At 37.6% G+C, this 22,538-nt stretch overlaps 1 annotated feature.

Annotated features, from left to right (window-relative positions):
• Positions 1,494-1,788: a silencer, noted in NCBI's record as "tiled region #6127; HepG2 Repressive non-DNase unmatched - State 3:PromF". NCBI's record gives its function as "represses a minimal TATA promoter and a strong SV40 promoter by Sharpr-MPRA in HepG2 cells {active_cell/tissue: HepG2}" and the evidence as "EXISTENCE:reporter gene assay evidence [ECO:0000049][PMID:27701403]".

Below are 22,538 nucleotides of genomic sequence, written 5' to 3'. Positions count from 1 at the left end.
CCCACGTGCTGACCCCAACACAGCCACTCCACACTCCCAGGACTCTCCGACTCATTTCAGACAGAGTCAGCATAATGGGGTGACTAAAACCCCTAACTCCCAGTAGATACCGAGACCTAACTTCAAGCTCCTTTCCTTCCTGAAGGTTTATTTTTTTCCCATTTAAGACCTTTCTTAAATTTTGCATCTTTTCTGTATTCCAATTATCAAGCTATATCCAGATGGATCTTGCATGTCCATATGACCTGGAAGAGGCACATTTAGTGAGAAAGAAAGAAGCTTTCTGGTTCTCAACACTGAAAATCCTTCAGTTTTTTGGCAGGTGTACTTGCCTGCCTGTGCAACTGAGCCTGTACTACCTGCTAAGGTGTGCAGTGAGGGGGGCAGAAAGAGGACTTTTTCTAGGGTGACTGGCACCCAAGCAGCCAGCACAGGACCCCTCTCAGGTTTCTCTGAGCACTGAGTACAGTGTGTTTGTGCTCTGCTCCCTCTCCAACCAAATCCCCTCTGCTATCAATTTGTAAACAACTCAGCTCTGCCTGCATAATATGTGAGCAGGCAATGCCAGCGCCACACTGTGCCCTTCCCTGTTCCCGGCCAAGTGCACCTGCTGCCCAGGGCTCTGGCTGCTGCTGCTGCTACTGCAGTTATTATGCTCTGCCATCGCCGGCCCTGCAGCTCGCTGGGCTGGCGGCACATCTTCAGCATGGGGAGGAATGTTTATTAGTTTTAATTGGTGGACACGGCTGGACAGTGACATTTGGGGAGTATTGCATGTCATTCATCCTGCACCAGGTGCCGGCTGCGATGGCAGATGTAGGTGGGTCAACTTAGAATACAACCTACGGATTATTGCCTTTCCAGAAGAAGGCAGCTGCTGTGCCTCTCCCCTACCTATGGGAGCACACACTTTTTCCTTTCTTTTTATACCTCTTGTGCTTTCCTAAGTGGAGAGGTTTTATTTATTCTGAAATACAATGGTTGGTCTGATTAAAAAAAAAAATCCCCTCTCCACAACTCATAAAATATACTCTATAAATGCAAGTACCTTTCTTTGTGCTTGACCAAAGAATCGCCCTGACTTTACTGTTAATATTCCATATGTTGCAAAAACTCATATATTCTGGGTGACGGCCTGGATATCAACTTAGCAAATATTTCTATATACAAATACAATGTTTTGCTTTCAAATTCTACTCCTACTTAACTCTGTATCTAACCTCTCACTGTTAAGAATCCTCAAGCTGTATGCTTTTCAATCTAACAAATTTAGCATTTCCATGTTTAGCTGCTCTTTGACTTTATGTTGCTTTATTGCTCCTCTTCCTACAAGGTTCAGGCAACGATGCCCATAGCAGAGTCAGGTGGAAACATTAGAAATCCTTCCAAGCAGCAATGGATATGTGAGTTGCCAGCTGTCTCCCTTGGACGCACTAGTCCTGGACAATGGCACAGAAACACACATACAAAGCCTAACCTCAGGAAACGGTCATTTTTTTCAGGATTCCTTCCTCTACTTCAGCCCATCAGCAAAGCATTGGTTTCACCAGACCATCGGAAGCCGAGAACTTGGCTTAAAGTTGTTGCTTTATGCTTTAATGATGGTGGTGTGTCTCATATATAGCTTCTGCTTGTTTATACATTTATATCAGCCTCAGCTGCTGCGGGAATGAGCTGAGTGCTTAGTGGAAGTTTCGAAAGCGCAGCACCAGAAACTAAAACTCTTCTGCCACCTAGCGGTAAAGTAAAAGCTGCAATCATTGGAAAATGTTAAAACGTCTGTAGGACTTGGGATATCAACTTGTTAAACTTTGGCTTCACATTAAAAGGACACAATATAAACATATACCCCATGTCCTCAAAAATAGTAATTAAAAGTGACCTAAAAGTAATGTTTTAATGAAGCCAGACCTCTAAACAGTAAACTACTAAAGACAATGTCCTGTGCTGATAAATAATTGCAGCGCTCTGAATTGCTGATTTACAAAACAAAGTGACCCAAGAAAATAAAATCGCTATATTCAATTTCATTTCCAGATTATCACAGTTTATTTTTCTTCTTTAACCATCGGTTTTTAGCTGTACACTATTCAAAAGTGGAGGGCGAGCTTGGAGTGTGTTTGTGAGTGAAATGAAGGTTATTTGCTTTGAAAAACCTACAGCTCATGTTATAGCGTAGAGTATGCACAGCCACAGAAGGTGGCGCTTGCCCTGAAACATGAGGAAAGAGGGAAAGAAAGTTCAGGATCTGTGAAACTCACACGTAACAGTAGAATTACTGAATCCTGTCTTTATTTGATTTTAAATGATGACACAAAATAAATACTGTAAAATAAAGCAACAAATTATTAAAACACTTCCAAATTGCTGCTGAATGGGTCGATGCCATTGTTTTGACACAAGTAAATGTGAGGTCTAACGAAATCGCTCTATACATGATGGGAAGTTGATGTGTCTTCACAAAACAACAGGGTTTGAGGAAAGATGAGTACCTGGAAGCATCTTAGGAAAACACTCTGAGTAGCAGATGGCATGGTTTCTTATGGATGCTTAGCATTCAACGGAGAGAGAGATTTAGATAATGCTAACAGTGTAGAAATTGCAGAATCAAGTATCTTCCCTCTAAAAACGTAAAATAAGAAAACAAAACCTATGCATAATTTAAGGATGCCCCAGGACAGTTTTAAATTATGCAATCCACATATCCATGCTTAATGTATTCCTTGCGTACTTCATGACACTGATCACCACCCCCTCCAACACACACACACACGCACACACATACACACACTTTATTTCTGAAAAGAGTTAAAGAAGCAAGTCTGTATCTACTATGTAACATTCATTTCTAAAGCAAATATACCGGTGAGCAGGGAGGCACGAAGGCATTTGCTAACTAAATGCTTCTTTTATCAACTCAGTGGTCTTCTCTGTTCTGAAAGCTTCTCAAACGTGTATAATGGCATTAAAAGCACTTTCAATAAAGTTCATTACCTTAGTGGTCCTTCCCATCTTCATGTGAAATTAACTGTATCTCCTATATGTACATCTACTTAAAGGAGTAATTTAATGGCAATAACATCTATATCTAAGAGGGTTATGTTTCCCTTGGACCCGCTTCACTCTTAGAAACCTCTTTATGCTGTTTAGAATAAAAACCAGAAATGCTGTTTTCCTTCTGTTTTAGGCAAATAATGAAGAAAGTAACAAAAGAGGAAAATCAAATGATTTTAAAAGCCATAATCCTAGAAAATAGTAATGCCATAATACTTTAAAATGAATACTCAATGGAGGAGGAAGATAAATAGAATACAGTTATGCTTGATTCTCATTAAATATTCTCTAAAACATTTATTTAATCTTTCATCTTATGCTGTCTTCTCATCTTCTCATTTTTGCCCCTCTAAACACACATACACACAGAGAATCTTGGCCCATCTCTTTATTTTGACAAATCAGTGTTGCCTCCCTATTTTCACACACTTTTTCCAGGTTTGTATTCTTACCCCATGGTAGAAGGGGCTGTATCATAAACATTAATTACCCTTCCTTTAATGAGCAGAGCCTGGATTTTTTTTTTAACACTTGAATCAGGAAAGACTGACCTTCTGCTCAGCTCCACTACTAAATTTCATTTTGCCTAATTATTATATTATATTAAGGGGTGGGTATATGGCCCAGGTCATCTCAGTATAATAGGAGGTATGCAGAAGAAGGGGGTTGGTGGGGGACAGTCAGGACTCTGGATTCCTAAGACTAAACACCAGGAATAGAACAACTTCTTTATTGTTTTCATAGATTTAGGGGGTAAAAGTGCAGTTTTGTCACATAGATATATTGTATAGTAGTGAAGTCTGAGCTTTTAGTGTACCCATTACCCAAACAGTGAACATTGTACCCAATAGGTAATTTTTCAACCCTCATTTCCCTCCCACCCTCCTATGTTTTGGAGTCTCAAATGTCCATTTTTTCACTATATGTCCATGTGTACCCATTTAGATATATCTTTTGAAGTTGTCCCAGTGATCTTAGATCTCTGAAGGAAAGCAGTCTTTAGGATAACTGTAGAAGATGCAGGGACTTTGAGTCTGTGATGAGATTGAACCCTGGAGATAAGCTATCCCAGAGCCTCTGACCTTCAAATAAAAGTGAACCAGGATTTTAGTATTCTTCGTCCAAATGGGTCTAACTTATTCCTTTGCCCAAAGACATGCAGCTGAGGAGACTAAAGATAAATCTAGAATTCATTCTCTTCCAATACTGGCTGATTCTAAAACTTTTACCTTTTCTACGATACTCCCTGAAATTATACTAACTGTATATTGTTCTATCCCACTCATATGCATTTATAGAATTCTATAGATTTTACTTCCTAAATCTCTTAAATTGATCTTTTCCAGTCTATTCTGCACTCACGATTTTAGTTCAGGCCCTCATAATTTTTCTCTTGGACTACTGTCACAGCCTCACGACTCCTCTAAAATGAAGTTTTTACTTTGCCTGTGTATGACCTGTGTGTGTAAATTTCACATACAATAAGTCTTGTCCATGCTTAAAGGCATTCCAAAATTTCCTCTATGTTCAGGTCCAAAGCAAAACTGTTTTATGGGGTAAACAGGCATTTTCTGCTTCAAAATCTAGCGCTTTTTTTTATCCTTCTCATCTTTATCCTCTATCATCCAGCCATACCGAAATAATGATATATCTATTTTTTTTATCTTGACTCTAGGACTTTGAACTTCCTGTAATGTTTTTCTGCATCAATCAACCCCAACTCTCGTTCAGCTTGGTACTTTGCAGTCAGGTATCTGAGAAGCCATGTCTCTCATTATAACTTCTGTTTAAGTGTTCATCCTTCTTCTTGCTTTCATATCACATTTTACTTACCTCTTACATAGTCCTAAGCACAATGCCTTGTCATTTATTTTTATTTTTAATTTTTTCTACTAGTATATGAGCTATTTGGGGGTACGGAACATAACTTTACCAACCCTTCATGCCGTACCTGGTATAGAAAAGGTTCTCATTAAATGCTTTTTGATAAATGGGTTTCCAACTTTAAAAATACAAATTCTAAAAGTCACAGAAATAGTTAGTGGTGCAAATGCTAGTAGAATTGAAATCTCTTGATTCTCAGTCCTGTTATCTTTCTAGTACAAATGTACTCTATACTCTTTCCAGCTTAGTTTACTCTGAACTCTAGTGGTTAAAACTCAGAACTGTCATTTAAGACAAATAGCTTCTTCTAAGGGCTTTACCAGAGACTTATAGTTAGAATTGCCCAAGGCAAATCTTTTAACCTTCCTATCATCCTCATTCTTATTTACAAAATAGCGCCACTAGTATTGCTCATTTCTTTTTGCTAAGAAATGATTAATGTAAGGGCCAGTGAAACCAATATCCATTGAAATGATTAAAGACAAGGCCAGGACTCAAAAACAGTATCCTCATGCTTTCTTTGTTTGTTTGTTTGCTAATGCCCTTCTGTGTATTTATTGAACACAAGAAATTCAACTACAACTCCAAATATATTTTCCCATCTTCAGTATCTAAGAAAGTAGTATGAAATAAAAGAACTGCAAAGCATCACCTATGCATATGCACATACCTTTCTATGCTGCAAAATGGAATTCAACATATTTATATTTCAATGTGTTTATGTATCAGGCAATAAGCCTTTGACCTTGCAGAATGTTATCTTTTGATGTATTTAATCAATTCTCTATGTGTACACTGAAATGCTGTGCCTTTTGAGTCTACCCAGTATGTAACAGTATAAATACTATGATTCTATTAAAAAATCATAATGAAAATGAAGTGAAATCCGAGTTTTCTTTCAATTGTGAATATTTCAAGAAAGATCAGTTATGTTTCCATATGAATAAAAACAGTATCTTCTATGCATAATTATTTCCCATCATCCTCAGTTCTCTCCGAACATGTTACTTATCAGGGAGGCTTTCCCAAACCATCCTATTTAAAATGTCAGTTCTATCTCTATCCCCAAAACATACACCCCGATCCTATCTTACTTCTTGGATTTAGCACCTTCCCTGCTGCTTTATCCTTCCCATATCTCAACACTAGATGACAACCCACTTATTTTGTTTATTGAGTAACTGGCTCTCTTTCCACAAAAGTGCAAATCTCATGAGGGCAGAGGATTTTTTTGTTGTTTTATTTTTTGTGTTTTTTTTAAATGCTGGTTTACTGGTGTCTAGAACTGCATCTAGCAAGTGGGAGGTACTCAGTTAATATGTGTCCAAATAACAAGTATCTAACACATTATAGATCATTTCAATGTGGAAATTTCTTCCAAAAAAAAGGACATTTGTTTCCTATGATCTCTGACCTACTTTTCTTGACATTATTTTTTTTTAAACATATCATGGCTGAAATATGTCTAGTGCCTTCAATTATCATTCTCTGAATGGTTGTTGCATCTTCAGTAATTTTCATTAAATGTTGTTGAAGGTTCGCTAGTGATAAGGGTTTCAATCATGATCTCCTAATATCATTGCATTATTCAGAAATCTTCTCAAGTGTGTCCTTTGGAGCCTACAGTCTCTGATGCTGCATCTCATGCATGGGAATACATGGTTGATGAAAGGCTAAAAGAAAATTAATGGTTTCACATTTTATCTCACGGCTTCTTAAAAAATTGTATTCATCCTCTGAGATAGAAAACATGATGATATAAATGAAAAGAATAGAATGTTCTCATGGCTTATAAAGTGCTCTCCCAAGCCCGTGCTAATGCTGTATGTGACTGGCAGCCTGTGTGCCTCTACAGGAAGATAACAGAGGAAAACCTGTTTCTAAGACAACAGCATTTTCTTTTATGTTTTATGCTGTAATAATAGTTCTGATCACTTTGAAGATCACCTAGAGTTTTGCAGGGAATAAAACATTGTAAATTAAAACAAGCGTATCTTCAAAGGACCAAAGTAAACAGAAATAATTTTTTTTGTTGATTGAAAGTAAGTGTTGCAATAATTTATAGTAATTTATATTGAGCTATCAGGACAAAAGGCAAAACTAAAATATTTAAAGATAAACTACACTTTAATTAAAGAAGTGGCCTTTGATGAAAATACATACTCATTTTGAAAGATTGCTTTTCCTGATAATATCAGAAAATAGCAGATTGTCATACATGAATTCCACACATTAATTTACCATCCATCTCAATAGCTTATGAGTTTACTTCATCTTGATTGTGTCCCAGTTTTCTTTATTAAAGTGAGAGAATAATAATGCTGATATATTTGAATAAAATAAAAATATATGGGTTTAAAAGAGCTATGAATCTTTTCTGTAAAAATTATTTCAGGAAATAATAGAATTAGCATCATAAATAATTTGCCACTCATTCCAAAAAATTACTCTATACTGACTTAGCACTGAGTTCTCCTACTCCATATAAACGTTTAAATCTTCAATCTATTAATTATATCTCAATTTTCTAAATGTTATTATAAAACATGTGTTATTGAAAATTATTTCAAGTTTTTTTCTTGTATCAAAAAGAATACATATTTGGGTTAAAGGATTTTTTAATGAAAGAATTACCTTATTTCATTTTTAAATTGAGTTTTATATTGCATGCTTATGTGATAAGTTAACATGCTGCATAAAACATTTTACACCTAAAAACATGCTTATGATTATAATTCAGGAGTTTTTTTAAAAACTCCTGTAAGTTCAAGAAAATCTACAAATGACAGAATGTGGTTATAATATATTTAAGGAGTAATTAATTAGTGCCTTCTGCAAATAGAAGGGAAACATAGATAAGTCAACAATAATACAAGTCAGATTGTGATAAATGCCAAAAGGGAGATACAATGTTCTAAAGACCTTGGAAACATGAATGAAAAATCCTTTTATGCCAGTTCCCTCCCCAGTATGAATTATAACATAGTCAAAGGGATATTATGAATGTTAGCAGAAAAAAATAAATATGAATCAGATTAGAGTGCTGTATTTTTTTTTCATTAATTCCAGTAAGATCAAGAATATACTAGTGAAGCAAATATTCACTTTACTCTTGGAAGGTTTTCCAAAATGTATTCCTCCATTCCCTTCTGTTTCCTTCCAGGGGCTAACAGTGAACCTTCTGAACTATAGTTCACACTAACCCTCTTGACCTGGCAAGTAGGCCTTTCCCACCACCCTTTTTCCTGTCCTTCAGCCAGTTCTCAACACATGTGATTGCTCTCATAGCTAAGTCAATTTAAATTATTTTGGGAATAAGATTTTATTAAGCACTACATCATTTGCCTTGCTGAAATCAATACCTATTACATCCACTATGTGGCCTTTATTTACTAAGGCTGTAGTACTACTGTCAAGGCGTGGAGACAAATAGGCACTCTGTGATTTATATAGGAAAACTATTACTCATATTTGGCTGTCTTTTGAGAGTTTACAGTTATATTTTTCTTAAAATTTGTTATTTTATTTTACTAAGGGGAAGATTAGACATATTTGAGTAAAATATTCAAACTGAATATACTTGTCTATTATTTTCAAAATTGAATGACACATTTTGTCTATAATGTTTTATATTTTTCAGGTTCTGTGACTTCTGAAAAGTCAATCATTCTTTATCTGATAATGTGTTCATTCCCTTAAACAATTTCTATCCATTATGTTGTCAGTTTTTCATGATTAAAATACATTCTATAATTAAATTACTTTGGTTTAAATTAATATGCTCTGAATCCCCAATTATCTAACTATTGGAAAAATTTTTTATAGTTGAATGTTAAATGTTTTGGCTAAATTGAAAAATCTAACTGATAAAAGCACAAATAAATGTTACTTTCAATATTCAGAATAATTTATAACAATGGCATGCAAGTTCAACAATGAACTTACATAACATTAAATGTCAAGGCAGGCTCACTAAGCTGACAATTGTAAAAACAAACACTTTGTGTTGAGCCATTGGTAACAGAGATGCCTGGAGTAAATAGGGACTGTGATCATTCTGGCCACGCCTACTCTGAATTGTCCAGCTGAGAAGATAAGGAACACAGTTCAGTACTATCTATTAAAGTGACTAATGAACACAAATTGCTGCTTGATTTCTTCCTGGTCTAAAATTGTTAATAATTTCTGCATATCACTAATATGCTTGGAAAAGCACAAACTCTGAGATGATCGGATCTGCTTATCATATGTCAATGTCAGGAGTGTCACTAGGTTGAAATTAAGGAAAGGCAAATATAGATCCATAAATACTTAGACTTTTGGGATATTTGAGCAGAGAAAAGACCTACCAAATATTTACTTTAGCTTTCTTCTTCTGTAAGTGAGAAGAGGGGTTCCACTGATGTTAGATGACTTTCTCAAAGTAGCACAATCATTTAGAAGCAGGACCAGAGCAGATTTCTACTGATTTCTCATCCAGGACTATGGCCATAATACCATAACATTTCCTCTTTCCTCAATAAGAGGATGATAACATTGCTGTAGAGTTTATAGGATTTCAAATCCCTGTGAAAAATTGTTGTAATATCTTGAGTCCTTTACAGAAGTTTCAGAATTCACAAGAGTATTGAGGTATGTAGAGATAAACTATATTGATGACTTCTTCAAAATGTATTGCTATATTATATATTTAAAATAGTTTGCTCATTATGTGTAATTGATAAAGAGAAAGACCTGGTTTAAACCAGCAGATGCAACTCTTTATCCTTACCTAATTTCATTCCATCACATTTTACTTCCTGTCTACAGGATGATTATTGCAAACTCCAGAACTTACTCTTTAATGGTTGACAATCATATAATGACTGTGAGCAATTCAAACTCAAAATGCCAAAAGTGGAACTCTTCATGTTTCTCCTACAACCCCAGCACTCTCTCCACGCTCGCACTCACACTTACTCTCTTGCTCTCTCGCTCTCTCGCTCTCTCGTTCTCTCTCTCTGTCTCACACACATGCACACACAAACACACACACACCCAGGATTCAGGCTTCTCCTTATTTTTTGTTATCAGAGGATAGAACTAGCATTCATTATACAGAACAGTCCTAAACTAATTCTGCAACTCCTCCATCTAGTTGACTTCTCCCATGGAATTAGTCACCAAATCTTGCCTGTTTACCTCCTAAATGCCCCCCACTTGCTAAAATATCTTCATCTCAACTCCTACCCTTTTCCAGCCCTCCTACTCCCAGATCAGTCTTACCTTAGACCCTCACATTGTTCTCTTGGATGAATAGAGTAGCAGGCGCATTGTGTTTCCTTTCGAAAACATTAATTTAAATCCTGCAACTTCTCATAGTCCACATTCTTTTATAGGGACTACAAGGAAAGTCATGATCTGACCCAGGGTTAACTCCAGCTACTTCATCCTTTCTAGTCATTCCCCACTACTAAATCTTCACCTGTATTTAACTCTTGCAGTTCTCACAGTTATATGTTCTCTTTCATATTCAGACCTTTACATAGTTCACTCCCTGTGTGGACTACCTTCCCTTTCTCTAGGACTCACTCCCCGACTCCACCTCTTTTAACTAAGAAAACACACTCCTTTCAAACCCAGTTAAATGATAGTCTTTTCTAACAGCCAATGATGTATGACACACTGCCCATAATTGTTACTATACCAAATTAAATACACTTCAATTTGTGATTAGCACACAGCATAGTAATATTTTCTTTTTGAAGTTAATTTTTAAATTTATTCTAAATTTTCTAGGCCTTAAAATTTCCACTTCAGTAAAACAAAGGGAGTTGGATCTGATTACCTTTAACATACATTCTAAACGTAAATATTTTATAATTTTTAGCATACCATATTATGATTTTAGGAAAGATGAGAGTTTCTTAAGCACCTTTATGTACCAGTTATTTAACGTTCATTATCCCATTTAATTTGTTATTGGCTGGAGTCCGCTATGTTACAGTAACAGAAATTTAATTTAAACTAGCTGAAACAAAAAGTAATTTTGTTACCTCATGAAACAAAATAAGTAAATCCAGAAAAGAGATTTAACTCCAGGTACAACTGGATTAAAGACTCAAAGAATATCTTCAACACTTCTATTTTTCATTCTGTCTCTGCTTCCCTCAGAATTAGCCTGTCTCTCAGACAGATCCTCTTAGAAACTGTGACCCTGAACAGCTGTTTTTCATGATCATTCAGCATATAGTTTCAGGAGAAATGGAGTTTTCCATTCCCAGTGATTTTAGCAAAAATCCCAGGATGAGATCTTACTGGACTAACTCGGGCAGTCAGCCCTTCTCTGAACAAATTTCTGTGACCAGGGAATTGAACAGCAGGAGCAACTGGGCTTAAGCCCTCAGCCCTAAACTAAAGGTGGTGGAGTCAGGACCCCCATACCTCATAGTCTAAAATCAGGGTGGGGTTTGTTGCTAAAAGAAAATCCCTTATTAGAAGAAGAGAGATTTATGCTGGCCAGGCAAAAGCAGCGCTCAGTCCACAACAAATTCCAACAATGTTCCAGGTTGATTTTATTATATCTACATATTTTTCCACTAGACTATGGGTGAGCAAAGTTTTTCCATAAAGGTTCAGACTGTAAATACCATATTCTTTGTGAGCCATATATAGTATCTGTTGCATATTTTACTTTTTCTTCTTTACAACCTGGTAAAAATACAGAAGACACTTTTTAGCTGGAGGGCTGTACAAACACAGGCTGTGAGCTGGGCTTTGCTCATGGGTTGGTTTGCTGACTCCTGCACTAGACCGAATAAGTAAGGTGAGAACAGAACAATGTTTTCTCGATGTTCATATTCCTAGAGCAAGCACCTTGTGAGTGAGTGCTCCATAAATGCTTGTTTGCTAAATAAATGCACACTTGGATTAAGTGAAGAATTGAAACAAGATAATGAATTTTAGACTCATTTCATATATTCCATTACACTAACCAGAAGTGAAAGCTCTTTCTTAGAATGTTGACACAGTGCATCTGACCTCAACCTCTTAGGGAGAAAAGAGTTGGGGAAGAAGTAAAGGGGACAGGAATGAGAGAAAAGTTGTATTGTTAAAGAGGTCTTCATGCAGTTCGTAAAGACCACAAAGACTCCAGTAGAGTTTTCTGTTGGGGCTGTAGAAGGTGATATGGTTTGGCTTTGTCCCCACTCAAATCTCATCTTGAACTGTAGCTCCTCTAATTCCTGTGTGTTGTGGGAGAGACCCTGGTAGGAGGTAATTGAATCATGGGGGTGGTTTCCCCCATACTGTTCTCGTGGTAGTGAACAAGTCTCATGAGATATGATGGTTTTATAATAGGCTTCCCCTTTTCCTGGGCTCTCATTTTCTCTTGCCTGCTGCCATGTAAGATGTGCCTTTCACCTTCTGCCATGATTGTGAGGCCTTCCCAGCCATGTGGGACAGTGAGTCCATTAAAACTCTTTTTCTTTACAAATTACACAGTCTTGGGTATGTCTTTATTAGCAGCATGAGACCAGACTAACACAGAGTGGGGGGTGGGGGGGGTGGGAAAAACATAGGACCTGGGAAAACGGTCTCCTGAGGCATCACCTAAATAAGACAATGATTATCACCTGTCTAAAAGACAGGGCCATTGATAGAAGCCATGGAGAGGCAGGTGGGGATGGCTACATTTGTATTTCAAGGCACAGACCTAATCTAACCCATGATTCCAAGCTTCGACAGGCTGAAGCAATCGGTTGCCTATGGGCACACTGCAAAGATTCTTAGCTGCGGTAACAATTAAGGAAAATGGAGCTTTCATGATGGCCGAAATGAATGGGTATAGCAAAAAAAGTTACTATCTTATGTTAGGAAGTTTTCATTTAATTCATGTTATCGTATTTTCTCATTTATCTTTCTTTAACATGTACAGGAATACTTCAACTGTGCTTTGCTTTTTGGCACTTAAGATAGTGATTTTTACAAATTGAAGGTTTGTGGCAATCCTGCCTCAAGCAAATCAATTGGCACCATTTTTTCAACAGCGTGTGCTCACTTCCTGTCTCTGTCACATTTTGGTAATTCTCACTATATTTCAAACTTTGTCATTATTGTTATATCCATTATGGTGATCTGTAGTTAGTGATCTTTGACGTTACTATTGTAATTTTTGTGGGGCACCACACACTGTACCCATATAAGATGGTGAAGTTAATCGATAAATGTCTATGTTCTGATTGTTCTAAATGTTCTCTCATCTTTCTCCCTCTCTTCAGGCTTCCTTATTCTCTGAGACACAACAATATTGAAATCAAGCCAATTAACAACCCTACAATGGTCTTCTAAGTGTTCAAATGAAAGAAAGAATCACGTCTCTTTTTTTAAATCAAAAGGCAGAAATGATTAAACTTAGTGAGTAAAGTACATTGAAATCCAAAATAGGCTGAAAGCCAGACCTCTTGCACTAGTTAGCAGAGTTGTGAATGTGAAGAATAAGTTCCTGGAGGAGATAAAAGTGCTACTCCAGCAAACTTACTAATGGTGAGAATATGAAACAGCCTTATTGCTGATATGGAGAAAGTTTGAGTGATCTGGATAGAAGATCAACAATAACATTCTCCTAAACCAAAGCCTAATCTAGAGCAAGGTCCTAATTCTCTTCAATTCTCTGAAGGCTGAGAGAGGCGATGAAGCTGAAGAAGAAAAGCCTGAAGCTAGCAGAAGTTAATTCATAAGGGTTAAGGACAGAAGCCATCCCCAGAACAAAAAATTGCAAGGTGAAGCAGCAAGCGATGAAAGTGGCTACAATAAACAACGGATTTTTTCAATGCAGACAGAATAGCCTTATATTGGAAGAAGATTTCATCTAGGACTCTTACAACTGTAGAGGAGCAGTAAATGTCTGGCTTCAGTGCTTCAAAGGACAAGCTGACTCTCTTGTTTGGGGCTAATGCTGCTGATGAATTTAAGTTGAAGCCAGTGCTTACTCTGAAATTCCTAGGGCCCTTAAGAATTATGCTAAGTCTACTCTGTGTGCTCTATAAATAGAACAGATCCTGAATGGGATCGGTTTGTAGCATTGTTTACCGATTCTCTCAAGAGCTGTTAAGATCTACAGCTCAGAAAAAAAAAAAAAAGATCCCATTACAAATATTAGGTTGACAATGCAACTTGTCATACAAGAGCTCTGATAGAGATGTACAAGGAGATTCGTGTTATTTTCATGCCTGCTAACACAGCACACATTCTGCAGCCCATGAGTTAAGTCACTTCAATATTCAAGTCTTATTATTTAAGAAATCCATTTCATAAGGCTGTAGCTGCCATAATGATTCCTGTGAGCGATGTGAACAAAGAACATTGATAACATTCTGGAAAAGATTCACCATTCTACATTCCATTAAGAATATTCTTGATTCATGAGAGGAGGACAAAATATGAATATTAACAGGAGTCTGGAAAAAGTTGATTCCAACCCTCATGGATGATTTTGAGGGATTCAAGGCTTCAGGGGAGGAAGCCATTGCAGATGCGGTGGAAATAGCAAAAGCAACAGACTTAGAAGTGGATCTTGAAGTTGTGACTGATTTGCTTCAATCTCATGATAAAACTTGAACAGATGAGGAGTTGCTTCTTATGGGTGAGCAAAGAAAGTGGTTTCCTGAGATGGAATCTACTGCTGGTGAAGATGCTGTGAACATTGTTGAAATGAAAACAAAAGATTTAGACTATTATATAAACTTAGTTGATAAAGCAGTGTCAGAGTTTGAGAGGACTGGCCAATTTTGAAGGAAGTTCTACTGTGAGTAAAATGAGAGTTATTGCCTCCAACCTCAACTTCTTGCACCTTGTAGTGGCTGAATGGTACCCTCTGACAACGATATGACCATGTTCTAATTTCCAAAGCTGTGAATGTTACTTTACTTGGAAAAAAAAGGGTCATTGTGGATATAATCATGTTAAGGATGTTGAAGGCTGGATGTGGTAGCTCATGCCTGTAATTCCAGCCCCTGGGGAGGCCAAGGTGAAAGGACCACTTGAAGCCAGACATTCAAGAACATGCTGAGCAACTTACTGAAAACCCATCTCTACAAGCAATTTAAAACATTAGCTGGGCTTAGTGGCACAAACCTGTAGTCTCAGCTACTCAGAAGGCTGAGGTGGGAGCATCCCTTGAGTATAGGAGGTCGAGGCTGCAGTCACCCATGATTGTGCCACTGCACTCCAACCTGGGAGAGAGAGTGAGACTCTGTCTCCCAAAAACAGAAAAGAATGTCAAGATGAGGAGATCATCCTGGATTATCCAGGTGAGCTGTCAATACAACGTGTGTCCTTAGAAAAGGGACATAGTAGAAAGACACACAAGAAGGTAATATGATGGCAGAGGGAGATTTGAGTGACATGAACATCAGCCAGACAGAAGAAGAGGAGGAATGTGGCTGCAAGTCAGTCATTATTGACAGCTACCAGGTACTGGAAGAGGCAAAGAAGAGATTCTCCCCTAAAGCCTTTGGAGGGAGTTCAGCCCTGCTGATATCTTAGTTTCAGGCCTTTGGCCTCTAGAACTGTGAGAAAATGAATTTATGTTGTCTTAAAAACTACTCAATTTGTGCTAATCTGTTACAGCAGCCACAGGCACTAATGCACTTGTTTATTCCTGTACCCTGGGTTACCAAACCTCTACTACCTTTGAACCTTAACCTAAGCACTCAGCATGATTGGAGAACACCTGCAATGTTACTATTTTAAATCCATGGCCAAATACTTCCTTGGCTCATTCATTCTCTTTGCTTTCCTAATTTCTTATTCTTACCCTCGGATGACAATCTTAATTGTTCTCTCATAGTAAATAAAAGCAAAACAATTTTGTAGGGACTTCCATTCAGTATGGGTACCCATTCCTCCTGGGTATGTAGATTAAGTATACATATTCTTCTCTAAACATCTAATGGCCATATCATTCCATGAGCATTTTATCCATCTTGCCTATCAATGGTTAAAGCTCCAAAGGTTCTCTCTTCTCTTCCAAACCATTAAGTTTTCTCTCTACTTAATCATTTGCTTCGACCTACAAAAAATGGTCCTCTTTATGTCATATAATACCCCATCTCTTTACTCCCTTTTACAGAAAAACTCCAGTCAGAGCCATCTAACCTGATTCCTTCCAGTTTTTCTTTTTCTCTGTTCATTCCATCAGGTTTTGCCCTCACCATTTTACTAACCAGTATTTTTGTCAAGGTGAGTCATGCCCTGAATGTTGCTAAATTTGATGATAAATTTCTATTTCTCCCATTACGTGACTGATCAGTACTACTTAAAAATTATCACTCCTTTCTCCTTGATATTTGGCTTTTGGAACTCCATACTTTCTTATATTTATGCCTATTTTATTGACCATTCTTTCTCATTCTCCGTCACCAGTTTCTTCTCTCTTCTCTACCTCTTACAGTGGCATACTTCAGGGATCTCCTTTGTCCTTTTTTACTACCTACACTCATGGTTTTTGAATCCCACTCAGTGCCTCATGAATTTAAATACATCTGTTATACTAAGTTAGGTCCCTAGTTTTCCCAAATTCCAGAATTCTATACTCAACTGTCTGCTTGGCTTTTCCATCCATCTGCACATAATGAGTAGACATGTCAAACTTAACAAGTACAAAACAGAACCCCTATTTCCTCTTAAACATTTTCTTTAAACTGTCTTTCCCATCTCAATTGAGGGCAACTCCATCCATTTGTTGCTGAAGGTAAAAACCTCTGATATGCCACTGTTGACTCATATTATTCTTTTTTTCCTATTAGTTTATTTTTAAACTTTTATTTTAGGTTCAGGGGTACATGTGCAGGCTCGTTATATAGATAAACTCATGTCAGGGGAGTTTTTTGTACAGATTATTTCATCACACAGGTACTAACCTAGTACCCATTAGTTATTTCTCCTGACCCTCTGCCACCTCCCACTCTCCACCCTCTGATAAGCCCCCAGTCTGTGTTATTCCCCTCTACGTATCCATGTGTTCTCATCATTTAGCTCCCATTTATAAGTGAGAACATGCAGTTGTTGCTGTTGTTGTTCCTTTGTTAGTTTGCTAAGGATAATGGCTTCTAGTTCCATCCATGTTCCTGCAAAGGACATGATCTCATTCCTTTCTACAGCTGCATAGTATCCCATGCTGTATAAGTACCATCTTTTCTTTCTCCAGTTTACCATTGATGGGCCTTTAGTTGATTCCATGTCTTTGCTATTGTGAATAGTGCTGCAATGAACATACACATGCATGTGTCTGTTCATGTCCTTTGCCCACTTTTTAATGGGATTAATTTTGCCTATAAATTTAAGGTCCTCATAGATGCTGGATATTAGACTTTTGTCAGATGCATAGGTGAGAAAAATTTTCTCCCATTCTGTCAGTTGTCCGTTTACCCCATTAATAGTTTATTATGCTATGCAGACCTCTTAATTTTAATTAGATTCCATTTGTCAACTTTCACTTTTGTTGCAGTTATTTGTGGTATCATCATCATGAAATCTTCGCCTCTTCGTGTGTCTAGGATGGTATTGCCTAGGTTATCTCTCAGGGTTTTTATAGTTTTGGGTTTTGCATTTAAGTATTTCATCCATCTTTGGTTGATTTTTGCAAATGGTGTAAGAAAAGGGTCCAATTTCAATCTCCTGCATATGATTAGCCAGTTCTCCCAGCACCATTTATTGAGTAGGGAGTCTTTTCTCTGTTGCATATTTTTGTCAGCTTTGTCAAAGATCAGATGGTTGTAGATGCGCAGCCTTATTTTTTCGTTCTCTATTTTGTTCCATTAGTCTATGTGCCTATTTTTGTACCAGTACCATGCTGTTTTGGTTACTGTACCCTGTATTATAGTTTGAAGTTGGGTAACGTGATGCCTCTAGCTTTGTTCTTTTTGCTTAGGATTGCCTTGACTGTTCAGGTTCTTCTTTGGTTCCATGTGAATTTTAAAATAGCTTTTTGTAGTTCTGTGAAGAATGTGATTGGTAGTTTGATAGGAATAGCATTGAATGTGTACATTGCTTTGAGTAGTATGGCCATTTTAGTCTTTTTGAGTCTCCCTGAGCAAGAAAATGTTTTTTCATTTGTTTATGTCATCTCTGATTTCTTTGAGCAGTGTTTTGTAATTCTCATTGTAGAGATCTTTCAACTCCCTGGTGAACTATATTCCTGGGTATTTTATTTTTATGTGGCAATTGTGAATGGGATTGTGTTCCTGATTTGGCTCTCTGCTTGGATGTTATTGGTGTATAGGAATGCTAGTAATTTTTGTACATTGATTTTTGCATCCTAAAATTTGGCTGAAGTTATTTATCAACTTAAGAAGCTTTTAGGCTGAGACTATGGGGTTTTCTACATATAGAATCATGTTTCAGCAAACAGGAATAATTTGGCTTCCTCTCTTCCTATTTGGATGCCCTTTATTTCTTTCTCTTGACTGATTTCTCTGGCCAGGATTTCCATTACTATATTGAATAGGAGTGGTGAGAGAGGGCATTCTTGTCTTGTGCTGGTTTTCAAGGGGGATGCTCCCAGGTTTTGCCCATTTAGTATGATGTTGGCTGTGGGTTTGCCATAGATGGCTTTTATTATTTTGAGGTATGTTTCCTCAATACCTAGTGTGTTGACATTTTAACATGTGTGATGTTGAATTTTACCAAAAGCCTTTTCTGCATCTATTGAGGTGATCATGTTGGTTTTGCCTTCAGTACTCTTTCTTTGATGAATCACATTTATTGATTTGTGTATGTTGAACCAATCTTGCATCCCAAGGAAAAAGCCTACTTGATTGTGGTGATGGATTAGCTTTTTGATGTTTTCCTGGATTCAGATTGCTACTATTTTGTTCAAGATTTTTGTATCAATGTTTACAAGGATATGGGCCTGAAGTTTTTTTTGTTGTTGTGTCTTTGCCAGGTTTTGGTATTGGGATGATGCTGGCCTCATAAAATGAGTTGAGCAGGAGTCTCTCCTCCTCAATGTTTTGGAATAGTTTCAGTAGGAATGGTACCGGCTATTCTTTCTACATCTGGTAGAATTCAGCTGTTAATCTGTCTGATCCTGGGCTTTTTTTGGTTGGTAGGCTATTTTTTACTGATTCAATTTTGGATCTTGTTATTGGTCTGTTCAGGGAATCCATTTCTTCCTGGTTATGTCTCGACGGGTGTATGTATCCAGGAATTTATCAGTTTCTTCTAGAATTTCTAGTTAGTGTGTGTTGAAGTATTCATAGCAGTTTCTGATGATAATTTGTAGTTCTGTGGAGTCAGTGGTAATATCCCCTTTGTCTTTTTGAATTGTGCTTATTTGGATCCTCTCTATTTTCTTCTTTTCTTCTTTATTAGTCGAGCTAGCGGTCTATATATCTTTTTTTTTTTTTTTTTCCAAAACAAACTCCTGGAGTTTTTGTGCTTTTTTTTTCCTCTCAGGGCTTTTATAGTTTTGGGTTTTGCAAGACAGAGTCTTGCTCTGTCGCCCAGGCTGAAGTGCAGTGGCATGAACTCAGCTCACTACAACCTCCGCCTCCCAGGTTCAAGTGGTTCTCCTGCCTCAGCCACCAGAGTAACTGCAATTACAGGCACGTGCTGCCGCACCTAGCCAATTTTTATATTTTTAGTAGAGACAGGGTTTCACTATGTTACCCAGGCTGGTCTTGAACTCTTGATCTCAGCTGATCCACCTGCCTTTGCCTCCCAAAGTGCTGGGATTACAGGCATGAGCCACCGTGCCTGGCCAATCTTTTGTATGTTTTTTTTTTTGTCTTAATCTCCAGTTCAGCCCTGATTTTGGTTATTTCTTGTCTTCTGCTAGTTTGGGGTTTGGTTTGCTCTTGCTTCTCTAGTTCTCTTATTTGTGATGTTAGGTTGTTAATTTGAAATCTTTCTAATTTTCTGATGTGGGCTTCAGTGCTATAAATATCCCTATTAACACTGCCTTAGCTGTGTTCCAGAGATTCTGGCATGTTGTATCTTTGTTCTCATTAGTTTCAAAGAAGTTCTTGATTTCTGCCTTAATTTCATTATTTACCCAAAAGTCATTTATGAGCATGTTGTTTAAGTTCCATGTAATTATATATAATTTTGAGCAATTTTATTAGTCTTGAATTCTATTTTTACTGTGCTGTGGTCCAAGAGAGTGGTTGATAGGATTTCAGTCATTTTGCATTTGCTGAGGGTTGTTTTTAATGTCTCATTGTGCAGTTGATTTTAGAATATATGCCATATGGCAATGAGAAGAATGTATATTTTGTTGTTTTGAGGTACAGAGTTCTGTAGATGTCTATCAGGTCCATTAGGTCCAGTGATGGGTTCAGGTTCTAAATATCCTTGTTAATTTTTTGCCTCAATAATCTACTGTTAATGGGGTGTTAAAGTCTCCCACTATTATTGTGTGGGAGTCTAAGTCTTTTTGAAGGTTTCTAATATGCTTTATGAATTTGGGTGTTATGAATTTTATATATATATATATATATATATATATATATATATATATAAAATTTAGGTTAGGTCTTCTTGTTGAATTGAGCCCTTTACCATTATGTAATGCCCTTCTTTGTCTTTTTCTATCTTTGTTGGTTTAAAGTCTATTTTGTCTGAAATTAGGATCGCAACCCCTGCTCTTTTCTGTGTTCCATTTGCTTAGTAGATTTGTATCCATCACTATATTTTGAACCTATGGCTGTTATTGTATGTGAGATGGATCTCTTGATGACAGCATACCATTAGGTCTTGCTTCTTTATCCAGCTTGCCACTCTGTGCCATTTAATAGGGGCATTTAGCACATTTACATTCAAAGTTAGTATTTATATGTATGGATTTGATCCTGTCATTGTGTCATTAACTGGTTATTATGCTGACTCGTTTGTGTGGGTGCTTTATAGTGTCACTGGTCTATGTACTTGTGTGCTTTTGTATTGGCTGGTAATGATCTTTTCTTTTCATATTTAGTGCTTCTTTCAGGAGCTCTTGTAAGGCAGGTCTGGTGATAACAAATTCCCTCAGAATTTGCTGTTCTGCAAAGGATCTTATTTCTCCTTCACTTATGAAGCTTAGTTTGGCTGGATGTACAATTCTTGGTTAAAATTTCTTTTATAAATGTTGAATATAGGTCCCCAGTCTCTTCTGACTTGTAAGATTTCTGCTGAGAGGTCCGTTAGTCTGATTAGCTTTCCTTTGTAGGTGACTTGTTTTTTCTCTATAGTTGCCTTTAACATTTGTCTTTCATTTCAAACATAGAGAATCTGAAGATTATATGTCTTGGGAATGATCTTCTTTTGAAGTATTTTGGGGGGGGGGGTTCTCCGCATTTCCTGAATTTGAGTGTTGGCCTCTGGTAAGGTTGGGGAAGTTCTCATGGATGATATCCTGAAATATGTTTTCCAAGTTGCTTCCATTCTCCCCATCTCTTTCAAGGATGCCAATGAGTCGTAGATTCAGTTTTTTACATAATCCCATATTTCTTGGAGGTTTTGCTCATTCCTTTTCATTCTTTTTCTTCGTTCTTGACTGTCTTATTTCAGAAAGCCAGCCTTCAAACTCTGAGATTCTTTTCTTAGCTTGGTCTATTCTGCTAACACTTGTGATTGCATTATAAAATTTTTGTAGTGCGTTTTTCAGCTCTATCAGGTCAGTCACATTCTTTACTATACTGGCTATTTTGTCTTTCAGCTCCTATATTTTATCGTAATTCTTTGCTTCCTTAGATTGGGTTTCAACATTCTGCTGAATCTTGATGATCTTTGTTCTTATCCATATTCTGAATTCTATTTTGGTCATTTCAGCCATCTCAGCTTGGTTAAAAACCCTTGATGGAGAACTAGTGCAGCCATTTTGAGAGAAGAATACACTCTGGCTCTTTGAGTTGTCAGAGTTCCCATGCTGGTTTTTTTCTCATCTTTGGGGCTAATGTTCCTTCAATCTTTGTTGTCCTCTGAATTTTTCTTTTCTTTATCCTATTTGATGACCTTGGGGGCTTCACTGTGGTATAAGATGTGTTCAGTTGACTGGCTTCATTTCTGGAAGATTTTAGGAGATGAAAGCTCAGCTCAAGACTACTGGACTATGTGCTCCAAGTATGGAGAACTGGTATTGGGCCAGCTTTGCTCTCTGTCTCCTTAAGGTCAGGAAGCTGCTGTGCTGGAGGGGCCCACGTGCTCCTGGACCATTGGTCACAATACTCTGATGGGTGGTGCCTGCCAAAGCACCTTTTAGGTTGGTAGCAGCAGGATCTGTCCTCATTTACACGTGTCCACAGCAATGGCAGTACAGCAGCGTGCATGTTCATTGGCTGTGGCAGGCTGCTAATGGCCAGTGTGCTGGCCTCTGTGTGGGTATTCACAGCAAAGGCATTGGCAGCATGGCTCAGGGAGGACGTCACTGGCAACTGTGCATACATTTGTGCTAGTAGTGATGTTAGCACAGGAGCAGGGCACTGGAAGGCGCGGGATTGTGTGTGCCCTTTGTGTGCATTCATGTGGATGACAGTGGTCACTCAGGGTGGAGGTGGGTCCACTGTTCTCTGTGCTGTTTTGCACTGGCAGTAGTGTTGGTGCAGGGACAGGGTGTGGAGGTGAGGATGTGCACTCATGCCACC

This window comes from Homo sapiens, chromosome 13 (genome assembly GCF_000001405.40).
Source record: "Homo sapiens chromosome 13, GRCh38.p14 Primary Assembly".
Lineage (NCBI taxonomy): Eukaryota > Metazoa > Chordata > Mammalia > Primates > Hominidae > Homo > Homo sapiens.
This window is presented reverse-complemented; position numbering and strand designations above follow the sequence as displayed.